The sequence below is a fragment of the Homo sapiens genome, chromosome 6 (assembly GCF_000001405.40).
Source record: "Homo sapiens chromosome 6, GRCh38.p14 Primary Assembly".
Lineage (NCBI taxonomy): Eukaryota > Metazoa > Chordata > Mammalia > Primates > Hominidae > Homo > Homo sapiens.
In genome coordinates, this window is record NC_000006.12 from 35,780,550 (window position 1) to 35,797,578 (window position 17,029).

The 17,029-nt window shown below is 49.5% G+C and overlaps 2 protein-coding genes across 7 annotated transcripts, besides 1 other annotated feature; one reads left to right on the plus strand and one right to left on the minus strand.

Annotated features, from left to right (window-relative positions):
• Positions 1-469: 469 nt before the first annotated feature.
• On the plus strand, positions 470-13,490 carry CLPSL1 (colipase like 1). Of its 4 annotated transcripts, none has more exons than NM_001348773.2 (3): positions 470-660; positions 6,449-6,571; positions 12,939-13,437. In NM_001348773.2, exons 1-3 carry the CDS (start codon positions 562-564, stop codon positions 12,984-12,986), a joined length of 270 nt encoding a protein of 89 aa, NP_001335702.1. In that variant the 5' UTR covers positions 470-561; the 3' UTR covers positions 12,987-13,437. The 4 variants fall into 4 exon arrangements, with proteins under 4 accessions (NP_001335702.1, NP_001010886.1, XP_016866310.1 ...); NM_001010886.5 differs by lacking the exon at positions 12,939-13,437 and adding an exon at positions 7,318-7,601; XM_017010821.2 differs by lacking the exon at positions 470-660 and having other exon boundaries at positions 6,272-6,571; positions 13,294-13,490.
• Positions 1,581-2,082: an enhancer, noted in NCBI's record as "H3K4me1 hESC enhancer chr6:35749907-35750408 (GRCh37/hg19 assembly coordinates)". NCBI's record gives its function as "activates a minimal SCP1, AML or CMV promoter by ChIP-STARR-seq in primed H9 embryonic stem cells {active_cell/tissue: H9 hESC(primed)}" and the evidence as "EXISTENCE:reporter gene assay evidence [ECO:0000049][PMID:30033119]".
• On the minus strand, positions 14,433-16,774 carry CLPS (colipase). Of its 3 annotated transcripts, NM_001252597.2 has the most exons (4): positions 16,656-16,774; positions 16,260-16,357; positions 15,182-15,304; positions 14,433-14,728 (listed from the first exon to the last, which is right to left on the minus strand). In NM_001252597.2, the coding sequence occupies exons 2-4, from the start codon at positions 16,299-16,301 to the stop codon at positions 14,597-14,599; spliced, it is 297 nt and encodes a 98-aa protein (NP_001239526.1). In that variant the 5' UTR covers positions 16,302-16,357; positions 16,656-16,774; the 3' UTR covers positions 14,433-14,596. The 3 variants fall into 3 exon arrangements, with proteins under 3 accessions (NP_001239526.1, NP_001823.1, NP_001239527.1); NM_001832.4 differs by lacking the exon at positions 16,260-16,357; NM_001252598.2 differs by lacking the exons at positions 15,182-15,304; positions 16,260-16,357.

The following is a 17,029-nucleotide window of genomic DNA, read 5'->3' on the forward strand; positions in this document are numbered from 1 at the left end:
TTGCCCTGGCTGGTCTCAAACTCCTGGGCTCAAGTGATCCTCCTGCCTCAGCCTCCCAAAGTGCTGGGATTACAAGCATGAGCCACTGCGCCTGGCCCAAAGTGCTTTCTTAACTGTATTGACTCATCTTTTTGTCACAACAGGGCTATAGTAGGTGTTATAATTATCCCTATTTTACAAACAGGGTATCGAGGCTCCTAAAGTAAGGGTTGGAACTGAGACTTGAACCCAGACAATCCTGCCCCAGAGGCCAGGCTCTTAACCACAAATCCACCATGTACATCAATACTGTGCCTTTCAGAGAAAGAAAACATCTCTGTTCCACAATTTTCAGCAAACATCCTAAGATCGGTTCTGATTGGATTGGCTTAGTCTGCCTGAACTAATTATTGTGGTGGAATTTGCTGATTGGCCTAGCCTGAGTATTGTGCAGGATGGGAAAATTCTGACGGGGTTGGGTGCTGGTTTTACATGGTGTTCCCACAGCTGGGAGGACACCCACATGGTCGGCGTGCAGGATATTTCGCTGGACCCTAGAAAAGCCACCACGACCTGTGGGCCATGATGCTACCCCAATGGCTGCTGCTGCTGTTCCTTCTCTTCTTCTTTCTCTTCCTCCTCACCAGGGGCTCACTTTCTCCAACAAAATACAACCTTTTGGTAAGAAAGCTGGAGAGTGCAGTCACCTCCCCCTCCACTGTCCTAAGGCCTGTACTATTTGGGGAGGTGAGCGGGCATGGGGGCTAGTGTGGGAGAAGGCCAGAAGTGGGGGCAGCAGGGAGTGTTGGGTGGAAGATGTCTCGGAGGAAAGAGAGAACAACCTGGTCCTGGAAGCTGTGCCAGGGCAGTGCCAGGTGCTGCTGCCACAGAGGTGAATGTGAGAGAGCCCCCCTGCCCATGCGCACATGTGGTAAGGGAGACAGATATTCACTCATGCAACACATTTTTATTGAGCACCTACTATATGTAAATTATTTTTCTACATTTAGTGATAGGGCTGTGAGCAAGAAAGATAAAAATCCTTGCCCTTGTAGAGCTGTCACTCTAGTGTGTGAGGCAAAGAAGTAAAACATTACAATAGATGCTATTAATAATAGCATCTATCTCAGGTGATAAGCAAGGAAAGGGAAAATAAGAATCGAGCTGTGGGAGTGGTGGTGTGAGAAGGGTTTGCAGGTGTTTTTTTTTTTTTTCTTTTTCTTTTTCTTTTTTTTGGGACAGAGTCTTGCTTTGTCACCCAGGCTGGAGTGCAGTGGGGCAATCTCGGCTCACTGCAAACTTAGCCTCCTGAGTTCAAGCGATTCCCCTGCCTCAGCCTCCCGAGTAGCTGAGATTACAGGCACCCACTGCCACGCCCAGCTAATTTTTTTTTCTGTATTTTTAGTAGAGACAGGGTTTCACCGTATTGGTCAGGCTGGTCTTGAACTCCTGACCTCAAGCAATCCACCCGCCTTGGCCTCCCAAAGTGCTAGGATTACAGGCGTAAGCCACCGCACCTGGCCAGGGTTTGCAGTTTTAAATGGGGTGCTCAGGGAAGAGTTTACTAAGAATGTGAAATTTTAGCAAAGACCTAAAGGGAGGGAAGTCCTTCCTAACCGGCAAAGCAGGGGGGTCTCTGGGAGAAGAGCATTCAAGGTGGAGGGAACAGCCAGGGCAAAGGTCTGGGGGCGGAAATGTGCTGGCATATTCAAGGAATAGCAAAGAGGAGTAAGAGAGAGTGGAAATCATGGGAGATGAGCTCAGAGAGATAAATGGAACACAGTTACAATATTCTCATTTATTCAACAGTTATGCATTCAGCACCTGCAATGTGTAAGGACTTTAGTCCAAGGGGGCTAAGAAATATAGCAGTGAACGTGAGAGCAGAAGATCCATGTCCCAGAGCTGAGGTTGCTAGCGGGGGAAATAAATTATTTTTAAACATATAAATAAGATGATTTCAGAGAGTCATAAGTGTTGTGAACAAAGTACAACCAGGTGATGGGGACTGCTCTGCTGGTGTCCAGGAAGTCTTCAGCCTGAGGCAGGAGGGGGAGGCAGCCGGGCAAAGAGTGCAGGACAGGGTGCTCTGGGCAGAGGGCCAGCAAGCGCAAATGCCCTGGGGCCAGGCCAGGTGTGGATTCAGAGCCCCAGTGATGGCTTTGAATCCAGAGAATGGCATTGTGGGAATTATCTTTTAAAAAAGACTCCTCTAGCTATTCTGGGAAGAACTGACTTGAGGAGGTTGGGGAGGTGGAAGTGAGAGTGGGGATGGTGAGGGGGTACCTGGGGGAGGTCACTGGCAAGGATGGAAGCAGGGAGGCCGGGAGGCGGCTATAGCCAATCCTCCTTTCCTGCCTTATTTTCTTTATAGCACATAATCGTACATAATAGGATTATACATATATAATATAAATATTACTTATTGTTATGTATATAACATATGTGGTAAAAATCACACCTTACTAGGTGCTCAGATCTTGAGTTTACATGGAAATCAATGGATTCGAACCTATGCAGACCCCCTCATCACTACCGTCAGAACAAGATATAGGACATTTTCATTACCCCAAAAGCCTCACTCTTACTCTCCTAGTCAATAGCACCAAAGGCAACTGTCTCCTGACTTCCATTATTATAGATTAGTTTTGAACTTTGTATGATGAAATCACACAGTATGTACTTTTAAAAAAAAATTTGGGCCAGGCGCAGTGGCTCACGCCTGTAATCCTAACACTTTGGAAGGCCGAGGCAAGTGGATCACCTGACGTCAAGAGTTCGAGAACAGCCTGACCAACATGGTGAAAGCCCATCTCTACTAAAAATACAAAATTAGCTGGGTGTGGTGGCACATGCCTATAATCCCAGCTACTTGGGAGGCTGAGGCAGGAGAATTGCTTGAACCCGGGAGGCAGAGGTTGAACTAAGCCAAGAAAGTGCCATTGCACTCCAGCCTGGGCAGTAGAGTGAGACTTTGTCTCAAAAAAAAAAAGGGGGGCTGGGCGCGGTGGCTCATGCCTGTAATCCCAGCATTTTGGGAGGCCGAGGCAGGCAGATCACGAGGTCAGGAGATCAAGACCATCCTGGCTAACACAGTGAAACCCTGTCTCTACTAAAAATACAAAAAAAATTAGCTGTGCGTGGTGGCGGGTGCCTGTAATCCCAGCTACTCAGGAGGCTGAGGCAGGAGAATGGCGTGAACCTGGGAGGCACAGCTTGCAGTGAGCCGAGATCGCACCACTGCATTCCAGCCTGGGCGACGGCGAGACTCTATCTCCAAAAAAAAAAAAAAAAAAAAATCTGACTTATTTTGCTCAACGTTTTTTCTGTGATACCGTATCATTTCACTTATGTATCTCTTCCCTGTCTTCCCTCTCTAGAGCTGTGTGTGTCCAATAGTGCAGTTACTAGTGTGAACCCAAAATATCTGAGACAGGTCTCAGTCAATTTAGAAAGTTTATTTTGCCAAGGTTAGGGACACACCTGTGATACAGCCTCAGGTGGCTGGGGTGCACCTTGCTTTTTTTTTGTTTTTTGTTTTTTGGGGTATAGCTTGCTTTTATACACATTGGGGAGACATAATATGTCAGTCAGTACCTGTAAGATTTACATTCGTTTGATCTGGAAGGGTGGGACAACTTGAAGTGGGGGGCATGACTTCCATTCCAGGTCATAGGTAGATTTAAACAAATTCTGATTGGCAGTTGGTTGAACAGCTATTATCAGCAGAAGGGAATGTCTGGGTTAAGATAAGGGGTTGAGGAGAGCAAGGTTTTATCATGCAGATGAAGCCTCCAGTAATAGGCTTCATAGAAAATAGATTGTACATGTTTCTGATCAGACTTAAGGTCTTTGTTAATGTTAATGCTGGAGGGGTATTAATGAGGCATGTCCAACCCCCACTTCCCGTCATGGCCTGAACCAGTCTTTCAGGTTAAATTTTAGAGTGCCCTGGCCAAGGAAGGAGTCGACTGAGATGGCTGTGGATTGGTGGTGGTGGGAGGCTTCAAATTTTATTTTTGGTTTACACTAGCCACATATAGTTACTTAGATTTACATTGATTAAAATTCAACAAAATTTAAAATTCAAGCCAGGTGTGGTGGTTCATGGCTGTAATCCCAACATTTTGGGAGGCCAAGGTGGGAGGATTGTCTGAGCCCAGAGGTTCGAGACCAACCTGGGCAACAAAGCAAGACTCCTGTCTCTTACTGGTGGAAGGTATCTGAGTTATTGGCAATGAATCTGTATGCATTTACAGCAACCTCAATTCTTGCCTCCTCAGAAGAAAGAATTCAACTGAGGGGCATAAAGCAGAAAAAGAGACTGAGGCAGGTTTCAGAGCAGGAGTGGAAGTTTATTAAAAAGCTTTAGAGCAGGAAAGAATGGAAAGTACACTTGGAAGAGTCCCAAGTGGGCAACTTGAAGGGCAAGTGCAGTGTTTAACCTTGGTCCTACCCCTTAACAGTCTTGCCTACCTCCAGTGTCGTGTGCCTCTCTCCCCTGATTCTTCCCTTAGGGTGAGCTGACCACATGCGCAGTGTCCTCCTTACCCTTGGGAAGTGAGCACATGCAGGGTGTTTAGGAAGTTGTACGCATGCCCATCTGAGGCTTTGTTCCCTTTTCCTGTGGAGTGTGCCCCTGGAAATTTTTTTTTTTTTTTTTTTTTGAGACAGAGTCTCGCTTTGTCACCCAGGCTGGAGTGCAGTGGTGCAATCTCAGCTAACTGCAAGCTCCACCTCCCGGGTTCACGCCATTCTCCTGCCTCAGCCTCCCAAGTAGCTGGGACTACAGGCACCCGCCACCACGCCCAGCTAATTTTTTGTATTTTTAGTAGAGACGGGGTTTCACCGTGTTAGCCAGGATGGTCTCGATCTCCTGACCTCGTGATCTGCCCGCCTCGGCCTCCCAAAGTGCTGGGATTACAGGCGTGAGCCACCATGCCTGGCCCTGTCCCCGGAAATTCATACTCCTCCATTTTTTCTCTTAATGTGCATTCCCCGGGCTCACTCACCCAACACCTGAGATTTTATTGGAAGCCCTTTTTGCTTCTCTCTGGCCCCTGCTTTCAATGGACACTTTAATGTTAACAGCTGTGGACCATTAGAAGCCTGTCTCTCCCTGGAGCCTAACTGCCAAATTATCATTTTTAGAGAGGCAATGTGATAACTGTTGAACCATCACCTGACATTCCTGGTGGGTGGGGGAGAGCCCTCTCCTACCCCACTCATGCCTGTCTAACTACCTGTAACATCTCTACAAAAAATAAAAAAATTAGCTGGGCATGGTGGTGTGTGCCTGTGGTCCCAGCTACACGGGAGGCTGAGCCAGGAGGATTGCTTGAACCTAGAGGTTGAGGCTACAGTGAGCTATAATTGCACCACTGCACTCCAGCCTGGGTGACAGAGTGAGACTTTGTCAAAAAAAAAAAAAAAAAAAGGAAAGGAAAGAAAGAGGGTTGGGCGCGGTGGCTCATGCCTGTAATCCTAGCACTTTGGGAGGCCGAGGCGGGTGGATCACCTGAGGTCAGAAGTTCGAGACCAGCCTGGCCAGCATGGCGAAACCCCGTCTCTACTAAAAATACAAAAATTAGCCAGGCATGGTGGCGCACGGCTGTAATCGCAGCTACTCGGGAGAATTGCTTGAACCCAGGAGGTGGATGTTGCAGTGAGCCGAAATCACGCCACTGCATACCAGCCTGCGCGATGGAAGCAAGACTCCATCTCAAAAAAAAGAAGAAAAGAAAATTTAAATTCAGCTCCTCAGTTGCACTACCACATTTCAAGTGCTCAGTAGTGGCTAGTGGCTATTGGACTGGGCAGAAAAAGCACATTTTCGTCACTGCAGAAGCTCTGTTGGACAGTGCTGCTCTGGAATGTCAGCTGCAGGTGGACAGGGATTTCTGTTTTTGTTGTTCCCAGCTGTATTCCCAGTGCCTGGAACAGTGCCTGGCACACAGTAGGTGCTCAGTATTTGCCTGTTGAATGACTATTGAAATTGTCAGAGATGATGGGTGGCTGTGATCAATAATGTTAATTACTGTCCTAAGCCCCAGTGCTGGGTGGAGGTCATTGATGTGTGTAGGGGGAGGGGCGGTGGGAATGCATGTAGGTGACCATCAGGCACAGGTGAAAGGGTGAGTATGAGTTTTGGGGCGAGAAGGCTCTGCAGCAGAATGAAGTGCAAGAGAGAGACAGGAAAGTCTAGACCACTCTGGTGTGTATGAGAAGCAGCCTATGTTGAGGACACCAAGAGTAAACCTTTTAAAAACTGTTCAGTCCCCTCCAGGCATCCACCGTCTGCACAGACTTACCCCGGCCCCCACGTAGAGACCACCCTGCCTGGCAGGAGCCAGAGGTGATGGTGGGAGCAGAGTCTGGGGAGGAGCCCCGTAGGGAGAAAGCCCCAGGCGGGGCGGCGAGGGCGGAAGGCGGGCGGTGGAGCCTGGCGGTGCCGTGTCCCTCCCTGCAGGAGCTCAAGGAGTCTTGCATCCGGAACCAGGACTGCGAGACTGGCTGCTGCCAACGTGCTCCAGACAATTGCGAGTCGCACTGCGCGGAGAAGGGGTCCGAGGGCAGTCTGTGTCAAACGCAGGTGGGTATCGCCGCCCGGGGGGAGCCAGAGGGGATCCAGGGGAAGTGGGAGCCAGGGCGGGCCCAGATTCCTGGGGAGGAAAGAAGGGTAGGTGGGCGGAAATGCCCTGGAGCCTGGAATTCCCCCGTGGGACTGCACCTCCAAGCCTTCTGGGGGAGCCTGTGGACGGAACCAATATGGTAGCCCACCCTAGGGTTTTGGAATCCTGGATTGGGGCGGGAAGGCGATGTTTCACTTTCTAATGTGGGTTCACATTCTCCAGGAGTCTTCTCAGCAAATTCCGAAAGTAGTACAGTAAATGGGCACAGCTAGGTCCAGCCTCTGCCCCAGAGCCCCGTCTTCATCCAGCTCAGGAGTTCTGCTGTGGCCCCGGGTGTTCCTGGTGGAGGATGGGCAGAGGCAGCCTCTGAGCTGGGTGTGTAGGGGAGGGAGTTGATTTGCCCATGGAAGGATTTAAAGACAAGACATAGAGGTCCTGCGATGGTGTGTCCATGGACTTAGGACAGGCAGATGGGTCAGTGACAGGCAGGGTTACAAGGTCTGGAGCTGGGAGGACACTGAACAATCCAGGAGCCAGCCTGGAGAAGGCAGCCAGAGGTGCCACTCTGAGCAGCTGGCAAGCTATCATTTATCCCTGGATCCTGGCTGTGGGCAAGCACATGGGCCCTGGAGCTGGGCTGGGCTGGGCTTAGGGGCTCAGGGAAGAGCTGCCGCCAAGGTCGAGGTCAAAGTCCTGTCTTTCCCAGGTGTTCTTTGGCCAATATAGAGCGTGTCCCTGCCTGCGGAACCTGACTTGTATATATTCAAAGAATGAGAAATGGCTTAGCATCGCCTATGGCCGTTGTCAGAAAATTGGAAGGCAGAAGTTGGCTAAGAAAATGTTCTTCTAGTGCTCCCTCCTTCTTGCTGCCTCCTCCTCCTCCACCTGCTCTCCTCCCTACCCAGAGCTCTGTGTTCACCCTGTTCCCCAGAGCCTCCACCATGAGTGGAGGGAAGTGGGGAGTGATTGAAATAAAGAGCTTTTTCAATGTTTGCTGCCCACAGAGTTGGGGCCTGGGTGGGCTGGGCTGGGGTGGGCATGGTACAGGTTTCTGGGGGGTGGGGAGGTGATATGAGGGAGGAAGCAGGAAGGGACACTGTTGGACTTGGGGTCTTTCCCCAGTTGGGGCATGAATGAAAGTCCCCCAGAAGAGACCAAAGCTCCCTTCCCACCCCAACCCCTTTCTGCCTTCAGCCCACTCTGTAATCTACCCCCCGGAAGCCCAGTTTACACCTGATATTCCAGTTCCACGACCTTAAATTTCAGAAATGTGAAAGAAGGTACACAAAATATCCATGTGTATAAAGAATTGAGGATGTTTATTGAGCACTTACTAGATGTTAGGGGCCGCTCTAGCTGCCTTATGCACATGATCTCATTTAATCCTGCAACAAACCTGTGGGGTCTCTCCTGTTATCACCTCTGTTTTACAGGTAGGGAAACGGGTTGAGCAACTTGTTCAAGGTCACACAGTTGGAAAGTGCTGAATCTGAATCTTCTGGGAGGCAAGAGAAAAGAGGGACAAGAAAAGAAGGAAGGAAGGAAGGAAGGAGAGCCTAGGAAAGAGTGAGAAAGAAAGACTGGAGCAGCGACTGTGGTGTGGGGTTGGAGAGAGAATGAGTCAAGTGGAGTTTTAGGAAGTCTCAGTGTGTGGTGAGGCTTTTGGAGTTAGATGCTAGCTCGCTTGTCTGTGAGTAGTGCCTGTTATATTCAGGTTACATTTTGGAGTTAATTATTTCAGATTTTGGACCTAAATTTCCACATTCAGCCACCAGAACTGAGCCAAACATGCCCTCCAGGATGTTGGGCTTAGGATGCAAGGGCTGGGGAGTTTGGAGGTAAACTATGGTTGTACTTAGAACGCCCCCTTGTAAGTCATAGCAAAACGATGTGAACCATACCTTGGTAGAATATGCTGTCCTGTACTAAATGTATCAGACAGATAACCAGACTTCCATTGTGTTATGTGAGCTCTCCCCATTCAGAGAAAACCTATGAAATGACCGTGGAAGGAGAGGTGGCAGGCTGGAAACCCAATGATACCCAATGTCTAAGAAGTTCCCAAGGATACCCAATGTCAAGAAGTTAGAAGGGGAAGGGGAGAATACAGAGCCCAGAAATAAACCCAAGCCTGTACAGCCAATTAAGTTTCAACAAGGGCACCAAGAAGACACCTTGGGGAAAGGATAGTCTTTTCAATAAATGGTGTTGGGAAAACTGAATATTCACATGCCAAAGAATGGAATTGGACCCTTATAGCACACACAAAAATAAACTCAAAATGGATTAAAGACCTAAATATAAGACCCAAAACTGTAAAACTCCTAGAAGAAAATATAGGGGAACTATTACACGACATTGGTCTTGACAATGATTTTTTGGATAAGACACCAACAGCACAGGCAACAATAGCAAAAATAAACAAATGGGACTACATGCTGAAAAGCTCTGGACCGAGCACGGTGGCTCATGCCTGTAATCCCAGCACTGTGGGAGGCCGAGTTGGGTGGATCATCTGAGGTCAGGAGTTCGAGACCAGCCTGGCCATCATGGTGAAACCCCATCTGTACTAAAAATACAAAAATTAGCTGGGTGTGGTGGTGCATGCCTGCAGTCCCAGCTACTCAGGGGGCTGAGGTGGGAGAATCACTTGAACCTGGGAGGTGGAGGTTGCAGTGAGCCGAGATCATACCACTGCACTCCAGCCTGGGCAAGAGAGCAAGACCCTGTCTCAAAAAAAAAAATTAATTTGAGGAAATTTTATGGTTTGGTTTTGTTTTGTTGGAGACAGGGTCTCACTCTGTCACCCAGGCTAGAGTGCAGTGGCTCCATCTCAGCTCACTGCAGCCTCATCCTTCTGGGCTCAAGTGATTTTCCCATCTCAGCCTCCTGAGTAACTGGGACCACAGGTGTGCGCTACCACACCTAACTAATTTTTAAGATTTTTGTAGAGATGGGGAGGGGGAGATCTCACCATGTTGCCCAGGCTGGTCTCAAACTCCTGGCCTCAAGCAATCCTGCCTCAGCCTCTCAAAATGCTGGGATTACAGGCATGAGCCACTGTGCCCGGCTGAAATTTCACTTTTTTCCAATATTGGATATTTTCATCCAGGAATATAAAATGCTTTAAAACAAAGTTGTTAATTTTTTTAATAAACGTTTTTAGCCTAATAAGGAAAAAAAAGAAACAAAAAAGAAAGGGAGTTGGGGAAGATACGTTGCTGACATGACTAAACTGGTTCCAAGTGTTGGGGGAGGAAAACTTTTCCTCTATCCTCTTAGGTTCAGTACTTGAAGGCCTGAGAATTAAACCGATAAAAGAGAAATGACCGATTTTTATTCAGAATGTAGGGAAGTTCATGGAAGAGTGTGACTCTAGAAGGAAGTTAGAATTTGCGGGTTATGTACCATCTCAATAGAAGAAGGGGAGGAGGAGAAAGGACACTTATAGAAAAGTAATTTTTAGGAAAGATGAATGGGCCCTTAGGAGAAAAGATGGGAGCTATTATAGTTTCGTGACCTGACTGTTTAGGTGTGGTGCCAACTATTCTCCCCTCCAGCAATAAGTCAATTTTCCCTGGTTTTGAGAAACTCCTGGGAGGGGGATTTATGACAATGGAGCTCTTTTGCAGGGCTCTGCATTTAGGCAGACAAAGGAGTTCAGAAAAGAGCCTATTCTCATCCAGCCTGGGCAGCATTGCGAAACCCTGTGTCTGAAAACAAACAACAACAGCAACATAGCCGGTGGTGGCACGCACGTGTAGTCCTAGCTACTTAGGAGGCTGAGGCAGGAGGATCACTTGAGCACCAGGAGGTTGAGGCTGCAGTGAGCCATGGTCGCACCACTGCATTCCAGCCTGGGTGACAGAGCAAGACTCTGTCTCAAAAAAAAAAAAAAGAAAGAAAGAAAAGAAAAAGGCCCATTTTCAAATGCCTTCTGCTCAGAATAATTTTTATGCTTCAGTGGCATTCTCTAGACCCCTTCACAAGCCATGGGGATTCCGCTGCCCTATGGGAAAAGTGGTCATTGGTAGAGGCTGCCGTTGTCAGAATCCAGAGAGATTTGTAGGGAATAAAGTACAGATGCTCCTTGACTTACGATGGGGCTACATCCTGATAAACACATTGTTTAAGTTGAAAATATCGTAAGTTGAAAATACGTTTAATAGGCCGGGCACGGGGGCTCACGCCTGTAATCCTAGCACTTTGGGAGGCTGAGGCAGGCGGATCACAAGGTCAGGAGTTCGAGACCAGCCTGACCAACATGGTGAAACCCCGTCTCTACTAAAAATACAAAAATTAGCTGGGCGTGGAGGGCACGCCTGTAATCCCAGCTACTCGGGAGGCTGAGGCAGGAGAATCACTTGAACCCGGGAGGCGGAGGTTGCAGCGAGCCGAGATCGTGCCATTGCATTCCGGCCTGGGTGACAGAGTTAGACTCTGTCTCCAAAAAAAAAAAAAGAAAAAGAAAAAGAAAATACATTTAATGGGCAGGTGTGGTGGCTTGTGCCTGTAATCCCAGCACTTTAGGAGGTTGAGGTGGGCGGATTGCTTGAGCCTAGGAGTTTAAGACCAGTGTGGGCATCATGGTGAAACCCCATCTCCACTAAAAATATAAAAATTAACTCCGGGCATGGAGGCTCACACCTATAATCCTAGCACTTTCGGAGGCCTAGGTGGGCAGATTGCCTGAGCTCAGGAGTTCGCAACCAGCCTGGGCAACATGGTGAAACCCCATCTCTACTAAAAATACAAATAAATAAATAAATAAATAAATTAGCTGGACGTGGTGGCATGTGCCTGTAGTCCCAGCTACTCGGGAGGCTGATTCAGGAGAATTGCTTGAACCTGGGAGGCAGAGGCTGCAGTGAGCCGAGATCGCACTATTGCACTCCACTCTGGGCAACAGAGACAGACTCCATCTTCCCCCCGCCACAAAAATAAATAAATAAATAAATAAATAAATTAGCCAGGCATGGTGGCACACGCCTATAGTTCTAGCACTTGGGGAACTGAGGTGGGAGGATCACTTGAGCCCAGGATGTCAAGGCTGTAGTGAGCCATGATCATGCCACTGCATTCCAGCCTGGGTCACAGAGTGAGACCCTGTCTCAAAAAAAAAAAAAAGTATTTAATACACCTAACCTACTGAATATCATAGCTTAGCTTAGCCTACCTTAAATGTGCTCAATCAGAATGCTTACATTAGCTGGGAAAAATAACACAAAGCCTATTTTAGAATAAAGTGTCGAATATATCTCATGTAATTTATTGATGTTCTACTGAATGCATATTGCTTTTGCACCATCATAAAGTTGAAAAATTGTCAGTCAAACCATTGTAAGTGGGGACCATCTGGTTCCTTGAGCTGTGGTTAGACTGTGCCTCTGCTGTGTAGGCGTGTGATGCTGAAAAGCAGCAGAAATTGAGAGTCTACAGGAGCACTGGCCGTTGGAAATAAAATGGAAGCTACATAATGGTTGGGGTCTTGGTCACTTGCTTCTGCAGAGCCCAAAGCCCAACTCCCTACTCACTTTTGAAGACCAGGGACATTTTCCTTATGCCCCCCACAGTCCAAAACACGGTGCCAGGCACACTGTGGTCATTCAGTGAACACATGAAGGGGACATGAATGCAGATCTCCAGGACCGAATGTGGCACCAAGAAGCGTGACTCAGCCCTGCTCAGGGCCTGAGACCCCTCCTGGGTTAAGGTATTGAAAGCTCCTCTTGTTGAGCACATAATTCATATGTGGCAGACACCATTACCTGGTTTCCTAATAGCCATTGCCCCCTTCCCTGCCAACTGAAACCCAATATTGTTTGGGCATCAATGAACCTGGCCCCAGGAGAAGGATCTTATTCCCTTTGCTTTCCCAGCGTCCCTTGCAGCTAGAAGTAGTCAGATAACCTAGTTCTAGCCACTGAGATATGAAGAGAAGTCGGCCTTGAGGATTTGAGGAAAGATAAGAAGAGGGTATGGTCCAGGTGCCATGGTTCATGCCTGTAATCCCAGCACTTTGGGAGGCCGAGGCAGGTGGATCACCTGAGGTAAGGAATTCAAGATCAGCCTGGCCAACATGGTGAAACCCTGTCTCTACTAAAAATGCAAAAAATCAGCCAGGCGTGGTGGCAGGCGCCTGTAGTCCCAGCTACTTGGGAGGCTGAAGCAGGAGAATCGCATGAACCCAGGAGGCAGAAGTTGCAGGGAGCCGAGATCGTGCCACTGCACTCTGGCTTGGGCAACAAGAGCAAAACTCTGTCTCAAAAAAAAAAAAAAAAAGGGTATGCAAGAAGAAACTCTCTGCTCCTTCTCCCGCCTTCCCAGCTGCCAGCTACTCCATGCTTCCTGCCTTCGAATACGGTGAGAACGTGAAGTCATGAGCTGCTGCTAAGGCATGTGGCAACCTTGAAGAGAAGGTCAAGAGCTACCAGCCACCAAAAGAATGCCAGCACTTCCTGTGTCTTTGCTTTGGATTCATGAGAAATATACGTTCCTATTTGCTTCAGCCATAATTACTTGGGTTTTTCTGCTACTCACAGTTGAATGCAATCCTAACTCATAAGCCTGTGGTTACAGGAGGATTCATTGATCACAGAACTGCAAGATCCTGGGGCTGGGACGACATCGAAGTTTCATTCAGTTCACTGTCCCTCACTCTCTGTGGGAATCTCCTCTCTAGCATCTCCACCGAGGGGTCAGTGAGCTTCCACCTGCGTACCTGGATGATGGGCACCTCAGTACTGCCTAAGGTAACTCATGTTTGATGGCTCCAGGGGATATACAATTTTTATATTAAGGCAAAATTAAATTCCTTGCAGTTTCCACCCATTTTTCTTAATGCGAATAATTGGGAAAGAAAAAGGAATCATAAGGCCGGGCACGGTGGCTCATACCTGTAATCCCAGCACTTTGGGAGGCTGAGGTGGTGGATCACCTGGGGTCAGGAGTTTGAGACCAGCCTGGCCAACACGATGAAACCCCGTCTCTACTAAAAACACAAAAATTAGCCGGGCGTGGTGGTAGGCGCCTGTAATCCCAGCTACTAGGGGAGGCTGGGGCAGGAGAATCGCTTGAACCTGGGAGGTGGAGGTTGCAGTGAGCCAAGAGATCACTCCGCTGCACTCCAGTCTGGGCAACAGAGAGAGACTCTGTTTCAGAAAAAAAAAAAAAAAGGAATCATAGAAGCAGGGCAGTGGAGTTAGATGGTAGAGTGCCAACATTTTCTGATTATGTGACATTGGGCAAGCTCCTCTCTGAAACTTGGTCTCTATCTATAAAGTGGAGATGAGAAATTCTCCCTCCTGGGATCCTTGTGAGCATTTGCTGGCAGAGAGTAAGCTCATAGCAATTGAGAGTGGTCTGACCCCTTAACACATGAGTTGTGTCAGCTAGCTGTCATATTTGAGAATTGTGTCCAGAAAAGAGGTGAGAGCCCAGGATTCTGATGCCTCTGATGCAGGGTGACGAACATGGGCCATTAAAACTCCTTACCCACAAGTGTGTGTGTGTGTGTGTGTGTGTGTGTGTGTGTATGTGCGCGCGCATGCACATGTGCCCGCTTGTCTCTTTGAGAACCGGAGGGACAAGGAGGGCATCCCAGGTAGGTGTGACTTCTCCCCAGAAATGGAGGGTTTCCTAGGCTGGCTGGGTCTCCTTCACAGCTTTGTCTTCAGTCTCCAATCTGTTTGGCCACAACTTCTTCAGCCCCAGACCCATCCCTTGTTCTTCTGACCTGCCTGAAGCCTGCCCTGGTGGACCAAAGGCCTGATGCAACTTCAGAGAAGATGCTGAGTCAGAAAGAATATGCAGGAGACTGGGAAAGGTTTGCAGGAGGCCTTTAATTGTGAAGAGCGCAATCAGAAAACAGATATGCTGGTCAAGGAGGTGGCCAGCCCGGGAGATGCGCTGGAGCAGGGGAGAGATGCCCCTGCGCCTAGTGGCCTACAGCATTCTGGGCTAGGTGTGGGAGTGGGTGGGCAGTCTCACTGCTTGGAGCGTCCAGCGTCATGGCAGATGCCAAAGTTGGTGTTGGTGATGGAGCCCACGATGGTCTTGTCTCCCTCACAGGTCAGGCCACGCTCACAGGGACACTTGTAGTAAATCCCATAGAGCGTCTGCAGAGACACAGCCAATGGAGTCAAGGCTATGGGGAGATACTTTGGACATCACTTGTCCCCTGCCTGACCTAGAGAACCAGTAGGCCAGCCTGTGTTTTCGGGGAGTGCCTCTCCCACCTGCCTCCCCAGGGGTGCCGTGGGCCCTGGAGACCCCAGCTCTGACCTCTGCTCTGGCTCATTTGCTCTTACTAGCTTGATCTCTCTGGGGAGCCTCTATTTACCCAGCCATGAAATGGGGATAACAAATCCCCACCCCCACCCATCTCACTGGTCACTCGGGAGGGTCAAGAGAGATGATGGGATGGGAAAGTGCTTTGACACCTGTCGACCTCCCTCTCGTCTCCTCAACATTCAGTGTCCAGGCTGACCCCCCTCCCTGATCCCACTCACAAGTGTTCAGGGCCCTACTCCCCATTCTCCCCCACCCACGCCAAGTCCTCAGGCACCCACCTTGACAGAGCACTCGCTGTTCTCGCTGGCCATGGATGTGCAGCGGGCCAGGCCCAGCGCACTTGAATGCTGGCAGCAATTGCTCTTACACTGGGCACTATTCATGCAGAGCTCACCGTTCTCCTGCCAGGAGCAGCCAGTCAGCCCAGGCCCCACTCCCTCAGGTCCCTTCTCCATTCAGACCTGTACCCACCACACACTACCACTAACAGTGTCTCCCCTGGTAGGGATGTGTGTGAAGGAGTCCATCCCCTGGGTCTGGTGGCCTCTGTGCCCCCCACCCACGTGAGAAGTGGGCATGCGGTGACAGAGAAGCAGACTTGCACAGAGGGTCAGGACCCCTGGGTTCTAGTACCGGCTGTGCTACCAACCTCCTGTGTGACTCTGGGCAAGTCACTGCCTCCCAAGCCTCAGTGTTCCCATTTGGAATGTGCACACAAGGCCCCTAGACAAGTTCTCCAAACCACTCTGGGTCCCACACCTCTTTAAGGAGGCGGTGAAGATTGCATCTCCCTGCAAGACTCCTTCCTCCCCCAACAGATCTGATCTATAATCTCCAAGGGTCCTGGACCTCCAAGTCCAGCCATGGCCCCAAGTTAAGAGAGTTCAGAACCTTTCAACCGCATGGACGTTCTGGAAGGGCTTTCCCAGCCAAGACCCATGGTGGAGAGGTGGTGTGGGGCAGTGGTGGGGCCCCAGCTGAACCACTTTCCAGCTATGTGACCTCAGGCAGGTTGCTCACCCTCTCTCTGTCTGAAGACAGGGCTGACTCTGAAAACACCTCCCTCAGTGGTTATTATGAGAACAGAATGAGTAAACATCTCCGAGGCATCTCCATAAGTCAGAAGCTGGAATGATTGGCGCAAAGCATTTTCTCAGGATGGAAGCCCAGGGCTCTGGATTTTTACAAAGCTCCCTCGTAGGGCCAGGTGAGGTGGCTCATGCCTGTAATCCCAGCACTTTGGGAGGCCGAGGTGGGCGGATCACGAGGTCAGGAGTTTGAGACTAGCCTGGGCAACATGGTGAAACCCTATTTCTACTAAAAATACAAAAAATAGCTGAGCGTTATGGCAGGCACCTGTAATCCCAGCTTCTTGGGAGGCTGAGGCAGGAGAATCATTTGAACCCGGGAAGCAGAGATTGCAGTGAGCCGAGATTGTGCCACTACACTCCAGCCTGGTGACAGAGCAAGACTCCGTTTCAAAAAGAAAAAAAAGAAAAAAAAGGTCCCTCATAGCCAGGTTGAGCTGCTGCTCTGAGCATGCTCCAGTTGGAGCTGGAGAGGGGCTGATCAGCCTTTCCTGTGGCCTCTGGGAAGAGGCATAGGACAGGACATGGAAGTAAACAGAGGGATGCAAGATGCCACTCCTCCCAGCCCCTGCCAGTCCAGGTGGAGACATCAGAGGTCAAGGTCCAAGCTTAGGAAGTCTTCATCTGGGGACTCAGGAGGCGCCTCCCCTGAAGACCCTCTTACCAGGTTGATAATGATCCCCCGGGGGCCAGGAGCTGCATAGGCCACAGAGAGGGCGACAAGCAGGAGGATCAGGATCTTCTCCATGGTGAGTGGGACAGCTGGTGTGGGTGGCGGGAGACAGAGCCAGCTGTGGTGATGGGGCTATAAAAGGGGCCCTGACCTCACGAGATCCACCTGCATCCCACAGGGCTGGCCGTGGGCAGAGGCACAGCTGTGGCCAATCTGCTGTGGGGCGGTTCCTGATAAGGAAACTGGGTGAGTACCTGGTGGCCTTTTTCGTGTGTGTGTGTGTGTGTGTGTGTGTGTGTGTGTGTGTGTTGGTGATAATTGTGTTGCATCGTGGTTAAGAGTATGGACTGTGTACAAGTTATTAG